Source organism: Homo sapiens, chromosome 9 (assembly GCF_000001405.40).
Source record: "Homo sapiens chromosome 9, GRCh38.p14 Primary Assembly".
In the NCBI taxonomy this organism is placed as follows: Eukaryota; Metazoa; Chordata; class Mammalia; order Primates; family Hominidae; genus Homo; species Homo sapiens.
This window is the reverse complement of record NC_000009.12, coordinates 97,644,249-97,661,229: the sequence shown is the minus strand read 5'-3', so window position 1 is coordinate 97,661,229 and position 16,981 is coordinate 97,644,249. Positions and strand designations below refer to the sequence as shown.

Genomic DNA, 16,981 nt, shown 5'->3' with positions numbered 1-16,981 from the left:
TTATATAAGGGGAAAATACCTGGGGTGCTAAGAACAACAGTCTGAACAGGTCAAACAGATATAGATATATTGCTTTAAGAGCATCATGTTGCCAGAGTTATGTTTATGCTTTAAGTTGGCCTATACATAGTTCCACTTAAGAAATACTGAATTCCACTTACCGTCGTCATCATCCTGGTTAGGATTTGGTACATCTTTCAGAATGCTGAAGATTTCATCATTGGTTGCCTTACTTTTAAAGGCAACAGCTAAACAGAGGGCAACAGAATGTCCAGGAAGAGAATCTAAACACAGAATTGGGGGTAAGGGGAATGACAGATCAGGTTTCAAGACTATTCTAATGAACAGTTAAATAACTGAGAAAAATTTTTTTTAAATTCTTCCTTTCAAAATAGGATGCTCTTTATCCCAAGGTCAATATTTAATCACATATAAATACCGTATGTGAAAGCTTTTTCTAATAGGTTAATGGTTTTTCACCTAAAAAGGGACAATTCTCATTTCAACAATTCATTAAGGACACTTAGCTAAGTAAAATTTAGAGCACAAGGTGCTGATCATCCTCAAGATGAATGGTAAGGAGAAAAGTGGACACAGTTAAACTGTCTTTTAATGCCCTCAACTCTCCTGGGCTCAAAATCCCAGAACCAACGTACTTCTCTTTCATTTTGCCAACACCCACTTCCTCTTTCTTTCCTCGGGACCGTGGAAATGAAGTCTGAGTCTCAACAAGGTAATGGCTGCCAACTTCAGAGAGGTTTTGTTTTTGTACTTTTCTTTTTTGCTGAGTCCACAAGCTTGAATCTACGTAAGTCAGATGCTCACGTGATGGGACTCCTTGTATTTACTATTGGTTGGTATCAGTTGAGTCCTTATTATAAAAATTTGTGCTAATATACACCGTAAGGCATCACCAGAGCAACAAGAAATCTGCTTTTAATGTAAGGTAGACAAAGAGGTAACAAAAAAGGCAATCCTGTTATAGAGTATGAGTTACTGGAATGAATAAAGTAAATTACAACAGTCATGTGAGGACAGTCATATTACACCTGCTGTGAGCTTTTTCTCTAAAAAAAAGAAGGCGAAGAAAAACAGAATCCCCTGTCACCAGTCTACATTCTAGCTGGGGAACCAAGATATTCACATTAGACACAGCCAGGAAGCAATACAAAACTGGCTTGCTAACGGTTAAAAAATATTTACAGCTATTGAGCTTGGGCTAGAATCTAGAAGGAGAAAAGGAAGTGGAGCTAGAAAGGGCTTTCCAGACTGGGGTAATGGCAAAGTCAAGAACAGGGAGTATGGAAAAAATAAAAAAGTACATGGACCTGGCAGAAATAGAGGTCCATGTGGGGAGAAGTGAAAAATAACAAAGTAGGAACAATGGTTATGAAGGCCTTGAATGTTAGGCGGAGTTATTCCTATGGGGCAAAAAGAAAGCTTAATCTTCAACAAAAGCCTGAGCTTTCTGATAGCAAAGACTACACCTTATCATTCTCGGAACCAGTACAGGACAAAACTCAAAACCCAGCACTTCTAAGTACTGCATAAACCTTTGATCTGCCAAAAAGCACAGTGGCTAACAGCATGGCCACTCAGTTAGTGCACCTACGCCTGAATTTGGGCTCCACCACTCAAAAGCAATCTCATTCTAGCTTGACCTCTTGGAAGTCATTTCCTCATTGTAGTTTTGATAATCATATCTATTCTTCAGAGTTGACATAATGAAATAGGAAATGTACCAGGACCGACACAGTTCATTTCAAGGAAAACAGGTACAGTCAGAGACAGAGGTGGAGAAACAGGCACACAGTATGAAAAGCAAAGAACAGCAGAAAGTTGTGAGATACAAAGAACCTCTACACAACACAAAATGGAAGGATCATGGAGGGGCTGTGTTAAGTGTAATCTGCAAAGAACAAGTTGGAAAAACTCCACACCTAACTCTACCAGTGATCAACAATGTATAATACTTTACCTTCATTAAGTGTAAATACTATGCAAAGGGCAAAATGGCACATCAAATTACACTCCCTGATTTATGGTGCAATTTCAGAGATTATGTGACCAAAAGGTAAGAAAATCATAATTAAGAATTTACTTTTAAAGGCATACTGCCACAAATATGTGCATCTATGTTCTCAATACCACACCTGAACAAGATAATGAATTCAAGTAACCTCCATCACCATGACAAATACACGTTTTCAGTTTAGTAAGTTCTAACTATAAATTCATCTTGCTATACTTAACACATTCAAAAGAGAAAAAATGATAAGCCAGTAGTAATTAATTTTATCACAACCAAATCCTCAAAATGATGACAGGGCAAATAAAACAGTGGCTAATGATAGACCACCTTTCAAATACAGGAAATATAAACCCCAAGAAAAGAAAAAGTTCAATTTCTCCACTTTAAACAACTAACTTCAGATATACTTGAACTGGTACCTTTTAAAGACAGAGGGATTAGTTTCATTACTTACTGCTACTTTCATCTCCATACTTGTAAATGCAGGTTGGGTTTGCAGGACACAGAGCTGAGAAGGTAGGAGGAACAATATCTAATATACGCTGATGGTAAGACAACCTACAATACAAATAACAGCCTCAGAAAATATCTTTTATCAGTCCCATTCTTCGGTAACACCCGACTTACCTGGAAAGTCATGATCTCCAACAACTTGAACTCAGCTGACAACCAAGAAGTGAAAGGGAAAAAAAAATCCTTTGAGTTTTTGTCTAAGCCAGCACACCAAATCTCAGGCATACTGCAAAACTCACTGGCTTGCACTGAGGTGCGGGTGAGTGAGCTCATGAGCCTGGTGGCCAAGTATGTGGGGTGATGATGGGGCATGGTGGAGATGACTGCACGCTTTGGAAACTGGCTATATTCTATCAAATAAATAAATATTGAGGATAATGGAAGCCAAGTTTGTTACTGCCTGAGAAGGTGTTTACAAATCATGGTAGAGAAGAAGTGTAGAAATAAGGTATTGAGTTGGAATTGGAGGCATATATACACACAGGTGGACATAAAAACAGTTATGGATGGATGGATGTGTGTCCACCAAGAGGCTTAGAACCAATGACACCCCAATGGCAATGAGCATATCAAGTGCCCAGATCTTGGCTCCTAAATACCATATTCCATTACTACTTTACTAGAAACTAGGGCTCCATGAATAAATAGATGATTCCAGTGATAGGGCAAGAAAACGCAAGATGATCCTAAATATGTTGTTCTAGAAAATAAGGGAATGCTCAATGAATGGCTGGGGACGTTAAAAAAAAAAAAAAAAATATATATATATATATATATAGAGAGAGAGAGAGAGAGAGAGCTTACCGGGGCTCCTCATGTACATACCAGGGACAATTTGGGCATCAAAATAAATAATCCTCATAGTTTATAACCCATCGAATGAAATATAAATTAATTAGTCCCTACTGATATATAAATAAAGGAATAAATAAATGGGGGAGAAAGGACAGCTCTTACAGAAGGCCCACTAATAAATGTAGAAAAAATAATGGAATGAGAAAATCATCACTTGGCAACCATCTTAGTGGTAGCTGCTAAAAGCAGGATGGAGATCTGATGAAGAACAGAGTAAGAGTAAAACTTCAGAATATCTAAAATACTTATCAATTCTACTAAAGGGAAAAATGGTGAGGTTAAGGTAGAGAAAGCTGGCAGATATTGACATGACCAGGTGGATCAGGATTAACATCACCAGTGGTGGGAATCATGTGCCTCTAGAAGTGACACACCAAGAGCATTAACAATTTAAGACCTCAGTCTGCTCATGAGAAATATCAGAGCAATCCAAGTAAGGTCTAGACTCTTTCAAACTGGTAAAAACACAAAGATAGAAAAAAGAGTTAAGTGTTCAAGACTGAAGGAATCTGAAGAGAATGACAACTCAACACTATATATGTACCTGGATAAGATTTCAGACCAGGCTGGGCACGGTGGCTCATGCCTGTAATCTCAGCACTTTGGGAGGCCGAGGCGGGCGGATCACGAGGTCAGGAGATCGAGATCATCCCAGCTAACACAGTGAAACCCCGTCTCTACTAAAACTACAAAAAATTAGCCAGGCGTGGTGGCGGGCGCCTGTAGTCCCAGCTACCAGGAGGCTGAGGCAGGAGAATGGCGTGAACCCGGAGGTGGCGCTTGCAGTGAGCCGAGATCGTGCCACTGCACTCCAGCCTGGGTGACAGAGCGAGACTCCAACTCAAAAACAAAACAAAACAAAACAAAAAAAACACTCCAGACCAGACAGGAAATACAGGTGTTGGGACGGCTGGCAAAATTTCAGCAGCACCTGTGAATTATGTGGTAGGATTGTACCACAGCTAATTTTCTGATCTAAAAGGTTGTATGCTGGCTAGGTAGGAGAGTGGTTTTGTTTTGGGAAGATATGTAATGGAACATTAAAGGATAATGGGCCATTACATCAGCTGGGTATGCAGCTTATTCTCAAAGGAAAACCAACGTAATGGGTCTCTAGGGAGAGACGAAAAGGGAGTGAGCATGAGAGCAAACATGATAAAATGTTAATAGCTATGGAATCTAGGTGAAGAGGATACAGAATTCTTTGTAATGTTGTGCCAACTTTTCTATAAATCTGAATTCATTTCATATATAACACCTTTTTTATTTTATTTTTTTGAGATAAGAGTGTCGCTCTGTCGGCCAGATTGGAGTGCAGTGGCGCCATCTTGGCTCAAAGGACTCTCCCTCAACCTCCCAAGTAGCTGGGATTATAGACGTTCGCCAACACGCCTCGCAAATTTTTATTTTTAGTAGAGAGGGGGTTTCCCCATGTTGGCCATGCTAGCCTGAACTCCTCACATCATGTGATCCACCCGCTTTGGCCTCCCAAAGTGCTGGGATTACAGGCGTGAGCCACTGCGCCCGGCCTGTGACATCTTTAAAAGAACTTATTGGCTTAAATTCACATGGAATCTATATGGCATGGTTGCCTAATTTTTCTTAGCCTAAGTCTTGATTAAAAATGGGATGGAAGATGAGTAAGTGGATTTTGAATCCAATATTCTGAACACACATCACAAGTGCAGAGAAGAGAAAGAAATCCTCCCAAAGAAGTTAAAAGGAGAAAACACAAAAAACTTACCTCATACATTTTTCTAGAACTTCTCTTACAAACTTCGGTTTGGGACTTTCAGGATCTTGACTAAGACAATCTGACCTAAGGAGGAAATGTAGTTTTATCAATGCTTACATATAATCTGCACTTACACCCATTTGTACTATAATTATCTGTTAACTTATAACAACTTACAAGTTTTGTTAAGTTATAATTGCACTTGTAACTATTTGTACTTAACTACAAATAGTTTCCAAGAAATTAAATATTTCAGACACTTTTATGTTACAGTTTTAAACATTAGTAGTTTTTTGACTACAGAAAAAGATAAAACAAACCATCACTTACCAATCTTCCCAGCTCCAACGGAACTGGAAGTTACTTAGATGATGAGAAAACCAATTAATAAACCTACGTAGAGAAGGGGGAGGTAGGCAGAGAAAAAGGAAGAATAACTGGGATTTAGAACAGAAACTTATATAAGCCTTCAAACAGATAAAACCCGACTTTACAGAGTTAATGAAAAGCATATTCCCCTACATGCAGTTGTATCTTCTGCCAACTCTCTTTATCCTTTTTAGGTCAATGACAGATATAATTCTAGTACCTGTTTTGTGCGGGCACCTAACATGTTTATTATTTAATTCTCACAACTTCCAAGGTACATATTATTTTCTCCATATAAAAGATGATGAAACTGAAGCAAGAAAAAAAAAAATTTTATGAAATTGTAGGCCAGGTGCAGTGGCTCATGCCTGTAATCCCAGCTACTCGGGATGGAGACTAAGGCAGGAGGATTGCTTGAGCCCATAAGTTCAAGGTTACAATGAGCTATGCTCATCCCACTGCACTCCAGCCTGGGTGACAGAGCAAGACCCTGTCTCAAATAAAAAAAAGAAATTGCAGATAAAACATTTTATAAATGGCAGAGCCAAAGTATAGTCTTTGATACTTGACTAGAGAATGAAATTAAAGAAAATCATAGCATGGACATCAAAAAACGTAATGTTACATTAAGTATGAGTCTGGTTATTATACAAAGGTTATTTTGGGAGGCAAGAAAAAAACTAAACATGGAAATTCTTAAAAATGTCTTTCTCAAATTCCTTTATGAAGTACAGGAAGTAAAAGCTGCTAACTCAGCTCAGCAGTAAAGCGATTACTGTACCTGTCTACACAGGTAGTGTTCATTGTGTCCAAACGCATGTATAGCATTTCAGTTGCCTGTGCAAGCTGTGAATTTAGGATAAGGAAAACTATTCTCCACTTTTATCCCAAATAAGTTGTAATAGACAAGAATAGAAATAAAACATTTCAAGTCTTTATAATGATTAATAATGCTGAACATCTTTTCACACAATCAATCTTGTTTTTGTTTTTTCTTACAGCTTTGAAATATCAGTGATGTATAATGAATCTGACCTGCATACACTCGTGAAATCAAGATAATATTTTCATCACCTCCCAAATTTCCCCATGCCCCTCCATACGCACAGGCATACATTGTTTCATTGTGCTTAGCAGAAATTGCTTCTTTTTTTTTTTTTTAACTGAAGGTTTGTGGCAACCCTGCAACAAGCAAGTCTACTGGCACCATTTTTCCAATGGCATCTGCTTGCTTCTTGTCTCTGTGTCACATACTGGTAATTTTTACAATAAAACAAGCTTTTCCATTATTAATTGCTGCAATCCCATAATAAAACTTTAAAAAATAAGAAGATGCTTTCTATGTATGAGCAAAGAAAGTGTTTTTTTGAGATGGAATCAACTCCTTGTGAACACTGCTGAATGACAACGAAGGATTTAGAATATCATAGAAACTTAGCTAATAAAGCAGTGGCAGGGTTTGGGAAGATTAATTCCAACTCTGAAAGAAGTTCTACTGTGGGTAAAATGCTGTATCAAACAGCAAGCATCACATGCTTCAGAGAAATCTATTGTGAGAGGAAAAGTCAATCTAGGCAACAAATTTTATTGTTGTCTATTTTTGAACTCCCTGACCCAAATAGTGAAGGATGTATCTACATATGTATAGGTACATATGTATTTACAGACATACAAGTACATACATGTAATACACACACACAACACACTTCAAAAGCCACATTTTTTACCTACAAAATTTAAACCCACAAGCAGAAATATTTAATAATCTTTTAAGACCAGGCCAAAGAGATTAAGTTTAAAAATAAAGAAAAGGATACAACTTGGGGTAGAGAGCCAGGTTGAAGTTTGCACAGTTCAATGAGGAGTGTTGTGTACATCACATCAATGTGAGGGGGTGCTGGAAGTTGAAACAGCTCTGCAAAGATCACCTACAAAAGAATCATGAGTCACAATTCAATCCAACTGCTATCTTTGCACTTCTATTAGAAAGACCTTAACATTCTAAATCTGAGCTCTAACTCCATGGCATTCATATGAAAATGGAATTACTTTTTAATATTTAAAATTATGCTCTTTCAAACACAAAAATCTAAAACTGAAAACTGTAATGAAAATTTCTTCTCTCTATAATTCGATCAAATAAAAACACACGACACTAATGCTTATTCGATCTACACTCCTCCCAGAGAACTATGCAATTAAATTCCAACTTTGAAAGCACCACAGCTGAGCCAGGATGTACAGCTTTTTGAGGGGCTCAAAAGATCCATGACAGTTTCATTCCTATAAATAACAAGAACTCTTAGGCTGGGCGCAGTGGCTCACGCCTGTAATCCCAGCACTTTGGGAGGCTGAGGCAGGCAGATTACTTGAGGTCAGGAGTTCAAGACCAGCCTGGCCAACACGGTGAAACTCTGTCTCTACAAAAAATACAAAAATTAGCCAGGTGTGGTGGTGGGCACCTATAGTCCCAGCAACTTGAGAGCCTGAGGCAGGAGAACTGCTTGAACCCAGGAGGCGGAGGTTGCACTGAGTTGAGGTCGTGTCACTGTACTCCAGCCTAGGCGACAGAGCGAGACTCCATCTCAAAAAAAAAAAAAAAAAAAGAATTCTTTTAGACTTTGGGGTCAGGAAACAAGAAAATCAAGTCATTCCACACTGTTACTTGAAATAGATGCTCAGATCTTTCTGGCAGTCCAAGACTTCTTTGCCATGCCTCTTATTCAGAAACTTCCTTCCTACTCTCTCTGTATAATTGGTGGACCACCTGTCTAGAATTCTAAAGCCCTAGTCTGCATCCTTTACTCTTACCTATCTCTCACACTTCTACACTTCGGTCTGATGAATTTCTATACATTTTGCAGATTTAAAAATGACATTTTGCATTTCAGACATGTCATTGAGCCAAGTTCACAGCATTAAGTATATCCAAGTTTTGTAAAGATAGGAAATACACAGTACTTTTTTTAAAAAGGCACCAAAGTGCAATATTAACAAAATATGAACCTTAATACATCCTATCAGGCCCAGCTAGCTCAGTCGGTAGAGGATACGACTCTTAATACATCCTATGCTGTCTCTTTCATGAACACTATTTATTTATTTTGAGACGGACTCTCACTCTGTCACCCAGGCTGGAGTGCAGAGGCACAATTTCAGCTCACTGCAGCCTTGACCTCCTAGGCTCAAGTGATCCTCCCACCCCTAAGTAGCTGGCACCACAGGTGCGTGCCACCATGGCTGGCTCTTTCTTTTTTTTCTTGTATTTTTAGTGGAGACAGGATTTTGCCATGTTGCCCAGGCTGGTCTCGAACTCCTGAGCTCAAGCTATCAGCCTGCCTGAGCCCCGCAAATTGCTGGAATTATAGGTATGAGCCACTAAGCCTGGCCCATGAATACTTTAATATAAAGACATAATGCAGTGGGCTGGGCACAGTGGCTCATGCCTGTAATCCCAGCACCTTGGGAGCCCAAGGCAGGCAGATCACGAGGTCAGGAGTTCAAGACCAGCCTGGCCAATATGGTGAAACCCTGTCTCTACTAAAAATACAAAAATTAGCCGGGCGTGGTGGTGTGCACCTGTAGTTCCAGCTACTCAGGAGGCTGAGGCAGAAGAATTGCTTGAACCCCGGAGGCGGAGGCTGCAGTGAGCCAAGATCACGCTACTGCCCTCCAGCCTGGGCGACAGAGCAAGGCTCCATTTGGAAAAAAAAAAAATGCAGTTAACAGTTTGACTCACGTGTCAAGTGAACACTGTTTTTTGATATAAATCTCTATAATGTATTCAACTGTATACTAACATCAACCTTTTGTATGAGTTAATATGAAGTCAAAAGTGTTGCTACTCTATTTCTAAACTGCTTGGCTCTTTAGATTTCTAAGAATAAATGATGATTCATCTACACTTTGTGTTACAGGAAATAATACACTAACTAAGTTTATGCTAGTACTGAGAGGCCAGATAAACACAATTAAAGATATGTTATCTGTCTAAAATGATATTTTAAAGTATTTAAATCACTTATACGTCTGTTAAGTGGACAATGTATTGACAGAGCTAGAGGTAACTTACATTATCCACAACAACTATCCATGAATGAAGACATACTATATAAATAACTTATAGGCAATTCAAAATTCCATTTGGCTACTGGTTCCAATCTTTTTTCTCTTTACTAACATGGCTAATAGAGCACCAAAACCGACAGCAATTTCCTTGCTTCTATTAATTCTGAATGCTGGACAAGTAGCAATAAATAAATAAATAAATAAATAAGCCAAGAGTAGATCATACTTTAAAGCCAACAGAAAGATTCTGAAACTCAGAAACACGCTCCACATGGAATTCATACCTCAACTATGTGGTAGTTCAAGGGGATCTTGTTCTTCCCTGGATAGCTCACTAACTGTGCAGCACTATAAAAAGTGTAATTTAAGTTTAATAAGTATACGAAGACACAAGAAAAGTCAAATAAGCAGTTTCAAAAGCAATGTGTTTAGATATAAGCAAAGAAAAATCTTTTTTGAAATGTCCTAGATTTCAGTTACTTCATTTAACTATGGCATAAATTATTCTGTCTACCACAAGGAAAATCTTTACTGCATCCAAAATTTCTTGAAAGCTCAAAAGGAGTCTAGGTAATAATACTAAGGAAGCATATTCAGATGTACTAACTTAAAGAAGTTTTAATAGAGTAGATCACTCTCATAATACTATATTCATTTCCACCTTAAAATCTAAACCAAACTTCCCAAAGTTTAAGAAAATTTTATTTAAAAAAAAAAATTCCAAAGCTTGGGTGTCTAAATGCTAGAAAACAGAGCAAAACTATTGGTATCCAAACCCAAAATAACTTGCCATTCAAGCTCTCCATAGCATATACTAAATATCCACACCAAACACACTGGCATCATACGCTTATTACTATAAAGCACCTCGAAAAGTACTATACAAGGGTGAAGAGCCTTGAGAAAGTAAAGCAAGTGTTTTTAGAAATTGATTTTAGCAAGACAGGGAGTCAGGAGGATAAAATTTTCTTACACTCTCAACATATATTTTGCTCTTACTGAATTATCAAAATTGCTGCTTCTCTCCCTTCTAAAAGTACCATGAAAAGAATCTTACCAAGTCTTCCTTTCCTTCCAGTGGGACTTAATGATGCAGTGAAGATTCTCTTCTATTACAAATCTTTCCACTGAATGACTCCCTGGCATGACAGGACCCTGGAAAGAAAACCAAATGTGTACACTACAGGCCTAGAAAACAGATTTCTTTTACTTATTCAACAAATATTTGAGAGACTATTATGTTCCAAGCACTAAACTGGGTGATGGGGATAAAAGTTCTGAAGTGTTAAAGCTCTATATTTCAGGAAATTCCATTGTCATGTTCACTTATACCCCAGAGTATCAGCTGTAGTGTTTTTTCTACCACATCTCATACCTAACCATACAACCACTGCCTACTTTACACACCAATTATTATATGAAACTAAATAATTTTGGATAATACAAGTCTTACAGAGTTTATTTTTTAAACCGAGAGTGAATTATTTCCATTAATAACTATGCAGAGAGAAAATTCTATTCAAACACCACATAGCCATAAAAAGTCATGCATGAATTGAAAAATGCCCATAATATACTGTCTAAGCTCAAAACATATTCCCTACATGGCATTATTTTATTCTTAAGTATATTCATAGCAAACAGGTTCAAAACACACAAAATAAACCTTTAATAATGACTTTTGGATGATTCTAATCTTTTTTTTACAATTTCTAATGTTTTTTAATAAACAACTTGTAAAAGGCCAGAACAGAAACAAAATCCTGTTCGTTTTGGGAGTAATATGTATTTTATATATTTATACTCTTCTAGCAAGGGATGGATATGCACCTTACAGAGGTGATACCAATTAAATACAAATTCAGGAGAAACAAATTTTGAGGTCCCATTCTAGTTTCCCCTGCACAAAAAAAAAAAAATACCCGACCACAAACATTAGCAGTCTTAAATGTAAACCAGATTTTCAGTTAGACATATCTAAGTAGATCATTACATAATTTTGACTAAAGTATTTGGTTACATATGGAATATAGCAAAGACGGCAGCAAGCTGATAATTTTGTATATGTAACTGATTATCTGAGAAATTTTTATTCCAAAATAGATTACATATATACTAAATTCCTACTGGTCATTAGCACTTTACCATAGAACAGAAAAGAGACAATAGAAGAAACTCAAATTTGACTTAGGTGGTAATATTAATTTTTATGGCAATAGTTTTCAACTGGGGGCAATTTTGCTCTTGAGGGGACATATTGCACTCTCTGGAGATATTTTTGGTTGTCAAAACTGAGGCAGGGAGAGTGCTATTGACATTTAGAGGGTAGAGATCAGGGACACCGCTGAGCATCTTACAATACACAGGATAGTACCCACAATGAAAATTATAAATTTTCTTAATTGTACAATATACAATTATAACAGTACAATGGCTGCCAGGAAACTTGACTTTGAAATAAAGAACATGTATATTAAAAATGATAAAGTCAGCTTAGACTAATCTTTGGAATTTTTTAATTAAAAATACTTCCAACATTTGTTTTCAAATAATCATACAATATGAATAATCACAAGACAGGCTGTGTTGCCTAGAGAGGGACCATACCTAAAACTAGGTACTTTTACTGAGAAATAACCTTATTAAGTATAATTATGGACAGGTGCAGTGGCTCATGCCTGTAAGCCCAACACTTTGGGAAAACGAAGCGGACGAATTGCTTGAGCCCAGGAGTTTGAGACCAACCAGGGCAACATGGCGAAATCTCAACTCTACAAAAAATTTGCCAGGCTAGGTGACACATGCCTGTGGTCCCAGCTACTCAGGAGGCTGAAGTGGAAGGATCGCTTGAGCACAGGAGGCAGAGGTTGCAGTGAGCTTAGATCTCACCTGCAGCCTGGGCAACAAAGTAAGACCCCATTTCGAAAAGAAAAAAATAAGAAAGAAAAATTGCCAGAATGACTGAGCATTCATCATGTGACAGACACTGTTCTTGTTCTATGCATTTTACATGTGAATAATTTAATCCTCATAACATGAGATATATACTACTATTATGAGATGTATACTATTATTATTACCTTCAGGAAATGAAAGCACAGGGAGGTAAATAACCTTCCCAAATTAACACAGCTAGTATTTGGCTAAACCAAGATTAAAACACAAACCAACGTAGCTCTAAAAACCCAAAACCCACACTCTTAGCCTGCAAACTGTGCACGTCTCTGTAATCTATTTACACATGCCAAATATAATTTCTTGCATAATGAGGTGATATCATTCACTGAATTAAAAAGTTAACTTCATTGCTACTGACCTTCTTAGATAAAAACAACTCAAAATTAAAACATACCACAGGCATAATTCAAGCGGGATTAACCCACAAGCACAATGCAACACAGGTCAATATCTAGGACTTTTAGTCGGTCACTTACCTCGGGATCATCTGTGTAATCAAACATTCTGAAGATGACCCTTGGCATTGGGTACACTGAATCTTCAGTGTGAGGAGGTGGTGTAAAAGGAGGCAGATTGTGCTGCAGTGCTTCACACAGGATGCTGTCAAAGGCAAGATAAGGTCTTAGGATGTGCCGTTCCTGCCAGCGATCCTTTTTCAATTTCTGAATCTGGGCCCACAGGCAATCTAAATACTAAAGACAGATTAATTTTTAATCATTAATATAATTAACATTTTGACTAGACAAAATGAAAAAATCACTACCCTTTAAAATACAGGATACAAAAGTAAGCTAACTTGTAAGATGGTACAAAAAAAGGTGCTAAGTTTTTGTTTTTATTTTACTTACAAAGTCTACCTGTTTGGAACTGTCTGTTTTGACATTTTTCAAATTAAGCATTTAAATAAATATATGTCAACTCTGTAATAGCTGGCATTCCAAAGAACAAGGGAATATTTCAATTACATTCTATCATCTATTAAAGACCTACCATACACCTTGAGCTATGAGAAGGAACTATCATGAAATGTAGAAACACAGTCAAAGGGTAAAATGGAATGGTCTGAGTATCTTACAGAGATAAGAATCTATTCAAGAGCTGACTGTGTTTGTATCACAAGGGACTGAAATCCATTTACCTCTTCTTGTGGATGTGGTTTATCAGCAGTCCATACCTGTAACATGGGTACATGAGTCTTTTGGCGTCTTCTAAAGATAAAAATGAAAATCTACATTTAGGCTTTTAAAAACAAGAGATGCTCAGTCACCCTCACAGTTATTAAAATGCAAATTAAAGCAATGAAATAACATTTTACCTACTGGAGTGGCAGATATCAACTGTTTTGATAATGTACTGTGTATCATCAAGATGCAGGTCAAGATTCAGTCTCAAACATTGTTGACAAAGAGGTTAACTGATATAATCTCTTTGGGAAAGTATAATCTCTTTGGAAGGTAATTTGACTAAATCTATCAAAATTGTTTAGAACCCTCAACTCGGCAATGCCATTTCTAAAAATTTATATCCCCCATAAATATATTTGCACATGTACATAAAAACATATACACAAAGATATTCACTGAAACATTGTTTATAAGAGCAAAAGATTGAAAATAACCTAAACGTCCACCAACAGGAGACTACGGAAATCATGGTACATTAAAAAGTGAAATACCCTACAACTGTTAAAAAGAATGAAGTAGAGTTAAGTATTTTTATGCAACAAATCCAAGTTATAGTAAGAAAAAAAAAAAAAGCCAAGTGAAGAACAGTGTGTATATTGGGCTATCATTTGAATAAAAAAGAGAAAGGATATGTATACACACACACACGATTCTTTTTTTTTTTTTTTTTTTTTTTGAGACGGAGTCTCACTCTGTTGCCCAGGCTGGAGTGCAGTGGCGGCACCATGTCGGCTCACTGCAACCTCCGTCTCCTGGGTTCAAGCAATTCTCCTGCCTCAGCCTCCCGAGTAGCTGGGATTACAGGCACCCACCACCACGCTCGGCTAATTTTTGTATTTTTTAGTAGAGATGGGTTTTCACCATGTTGGCCAGGCTGGTCTCAAACTCCTGACCTCGGGTGATCCACCTGCCTTGGCCTCCTAAAGTGCTGGGATTACAGGCGTGAGCCACTGCGCCCGGCCAAAAGATTCTTATTTTTTAAGCTTCTTTTAACTTTACTTAATAACCAACTAAGTAGCTATTAACAGTTATCCAAAAAAAGCACTTAAAAAAGAGAAAATGAAACTTAACAACAAAATCAATCTGTAAAAACCTAAGGGCCACATAACCATTACCATGTTGCTGGATAGTTAAGCATAAATTTACTAAAAAGACCTATTTATTATTATTGTATCTAACAATATAAACCAAGCTTTTACATTGGCTTAGGAGAGATGAGTAATGGGAAGACATGTGACTATTTTAATTGAAATGTGTCATATTACTTAAGAAGTACTGGCTGGATGGAGGGTTAAGGACCACTGTTTTAAGAGCTTGATTTAAGATTAATTTACATGAACTAAATATACTGTATGTGCTAGGACAGTGGTTCTCCACTTGTGAAATGTGTTAATAATACAGATGTCCAAACCTCTCTCTCAAATTGTATAATTTATCAGGTCTGGGGGTTGGGGTCTGAGTATTTTAAGTACCACAGGTAATTCTTATCCACACTAATATTTGAGGAACTATTGCACTAGGGTGTTTTATGTCTTTTATAAACAAACATATAAAAGCAGCTTAAAAGAAGCTATATTGCCAACTGTCCTTTGCACTGGCAAAAGTAAGCAAACCATATCTGACTACTTTGAGGTCTCAGTGAGTTAAAACAGCAGGAGAACAGGATTACCTAGAAAATACCTTCAGGAACTCTACAGCTTATTTTTGAGAAACTCAAATGGTATCACTGATATAAGATATCCTTTACCTAAGCAACAAAGAGTACTATGAGCTGTGCCCTTACTTAAGATAGCTTTCAGTGTTGGCAAAGATGCGGTCCATCTCTGCATCTTTCTTTTCGTACAACTCCTTTCCAACCCAGGGCAAAGATGACAGAAATGCATACACATACCAATCTCGTCGCACCTAAAGGATTTTTAAAAAGTTAAGTTTAAAATATGCTTTAATTATATTCATTCATATTTTATTTATTCTTGAATGAAATCCTATGGAAGCTATTTAATAGGACTTAAATAAGACATCTGGTTTATACAGAGCATTTCTAGATATATTAGTTCTAATCTTACTAGACAGCATCATTTAAATCAACATACAGATATTATGAGAACCCACCAGTGTGCCAGTCAGCTTAATTTTTAGATAGTAAGAACTTAAAGTGTGATAGTCTGCTGTTATTTTTTTCTTTATTGCTAATGGGTTATCAGCGAAAAATTCCTGGTACTATATGGAAGTACCAGGATTCAGTAACCCCTCAAGAACCCCTCAAGATTCAGCATGAGGGGTTCTCTTACCTGAGGTACATCTTCTTCCTGAGTTACGCTTACAAAATTTTCAAACATAGCAACCATTGATGGGGCGGCAATCACATGACAATTCACAAGATCAGATAAAAAACGGACCTGTTGGGGCAAACAATTTCTGCTATTAAACCTAAATGTTCTTTATAATAACTACAAAATAAGCAATCTTGTATAGGCTAAACTATTGGTCTAAAAAACTATAGCCTAAGGGCTGAATCTAGCCTACTACCTGTTTTTTGCATAGCTGGGAACTAAAAATGGTTTTTACATTTTTAAATGCGTGAAAAAAAAATCAAGAGTATTTTATGACATATACAAATTACATGAAATTCAAGTTTCAGTGCCCATAAGTAAACTTAGTGGAATAGCCACGCTCATTCAGTTACATATTGTCTATGGTTGCTTTTGTGCTACAATGGCAGAATTGAGAAGTTGTAACAAAGACTATATAAAGGACAGTAATCTGTGAGTTCATACGTTTCTATGCTATACTACATCAAGAATCCAGATTGTAAAATATTCTAGCTACTTCAACCTATAATCTCCTTTTCTGTTTGGCTGTAATTTTCACTGAATTACAGAAATGGAAATTACAGAACACATATTTATTGGGTGTGCTTAGTGTGCTATTGCTAAACACTACTAAAAGTCACTGTTAGGGGACCCATTCTAGTGGAACAAGCACAATCTCAATACAAAGGAATGACTCCCACACTAAAAGGCAAATTAAGCATTTTTTAGGAACAATGACAAAGGGAGTTGGGGAAAGCATCACAAAGGAGGTAACAATTAGGCTAGGTCATAAAGGATAGCAACAGCCTCAAGTAGTGAGCAAGGAGGGCAGTCTAGGCATAGAGGTTCAAAAACAAGGTGTGTTTAGGGATCTGCAAGTTATTTTGATATTGCTGGGGAGCATATGGGAGACAAGAATAGAGAAACAGACTGGGGAAACCATAAAGGGTCAGGC

General features: G+C 37.2%; 2 protein-coding genes across 6 annotated transcripts in view; one reads left to right on the top strand and one right to left on the bottom strand.

Moving 5' to 3' along the window:
* XPA (XPA, DNA damage recognition and repair factor) overlaps positions 1 to 6,832 on the top strand; it is a 42,943-nt gene extending 36,111 nt beyond the window's left edge. Inside the window, exon 7 of the mRNA XM_006717278.2 lies at positions 6,506 to 6,832. Within this exon, the coding sequence (XP_006717341.1) occupies positions 6,506 to 6,522 (17 nt within the window). The 3' untranslated portion in view covers positions 6,523 to 6,832. The remainder of the gene's footprint in view (positions 1 to 6,505) is intronic.
* NCBP1 (nuclear cap binding protein subunit 1) overlaps positions 1 to 16,981 on the bottom strand; it is a 39,928-nt gene that overhangs the window by 12,519 nt on the left and 10,428 nt on the right. For 2 of the 5 annotated variants that reach the window (NM_001351504.2, NM_002486.5), the window contains exons 5-16: positions 16,006 to 16,113; positions 15,498 to 15,619; positions 13,669 to 13,738; positions 13,007 to 13,222; positions 10,630 to 10,727; positions 9,857 to 9,920; positions 7,322 to 7,432; positions 6,286 to 6,350; positions 5,466 to 5,528; positions 5,145 to 5,219; positions 2,487 to 2,590; positions 162 to 284 (exon numbers count right to left, since the gene is read on the bottom strand). In NM_001351504.2, the coding sequence (NP_001338433.1) occupies positions 162 to 284; positions 2,487 to 2,590; positions 5,145 to 5,219; positions 5,466 to 5,528; positions 6,286 to 6,350; positions 7,322 to 7,432; positions 9,857 to 9,920; positions 10,630 to 10,727; positions 13,007 to 13,222; positions 13,669 to 13,738; positions 15,498 to 15,619; positions 16,006 to 16,113 (1,219 nt within the window). The remainder of the gene's footprint in view (positions 1 to 161; positions 285 to 2,486; positions 2,591 to 5,144; positions 5,220 to 5,465; positions 5,529 to 6,285; positions 6,351 to 7,321; positions 7,433 to 9,856; positions 9,921 to 10,629; positions 10,728 to 13,006; positions 13,223 to 13,668; positions 13,739 to 15,497; positions 15,620 to 16,005; positions 16,114 to 16,981) is intronic. The other 3 variants (NM_001351506.2, NM_001351505.2, NM_001351507.2) reach the window with 2 other exon arrangements.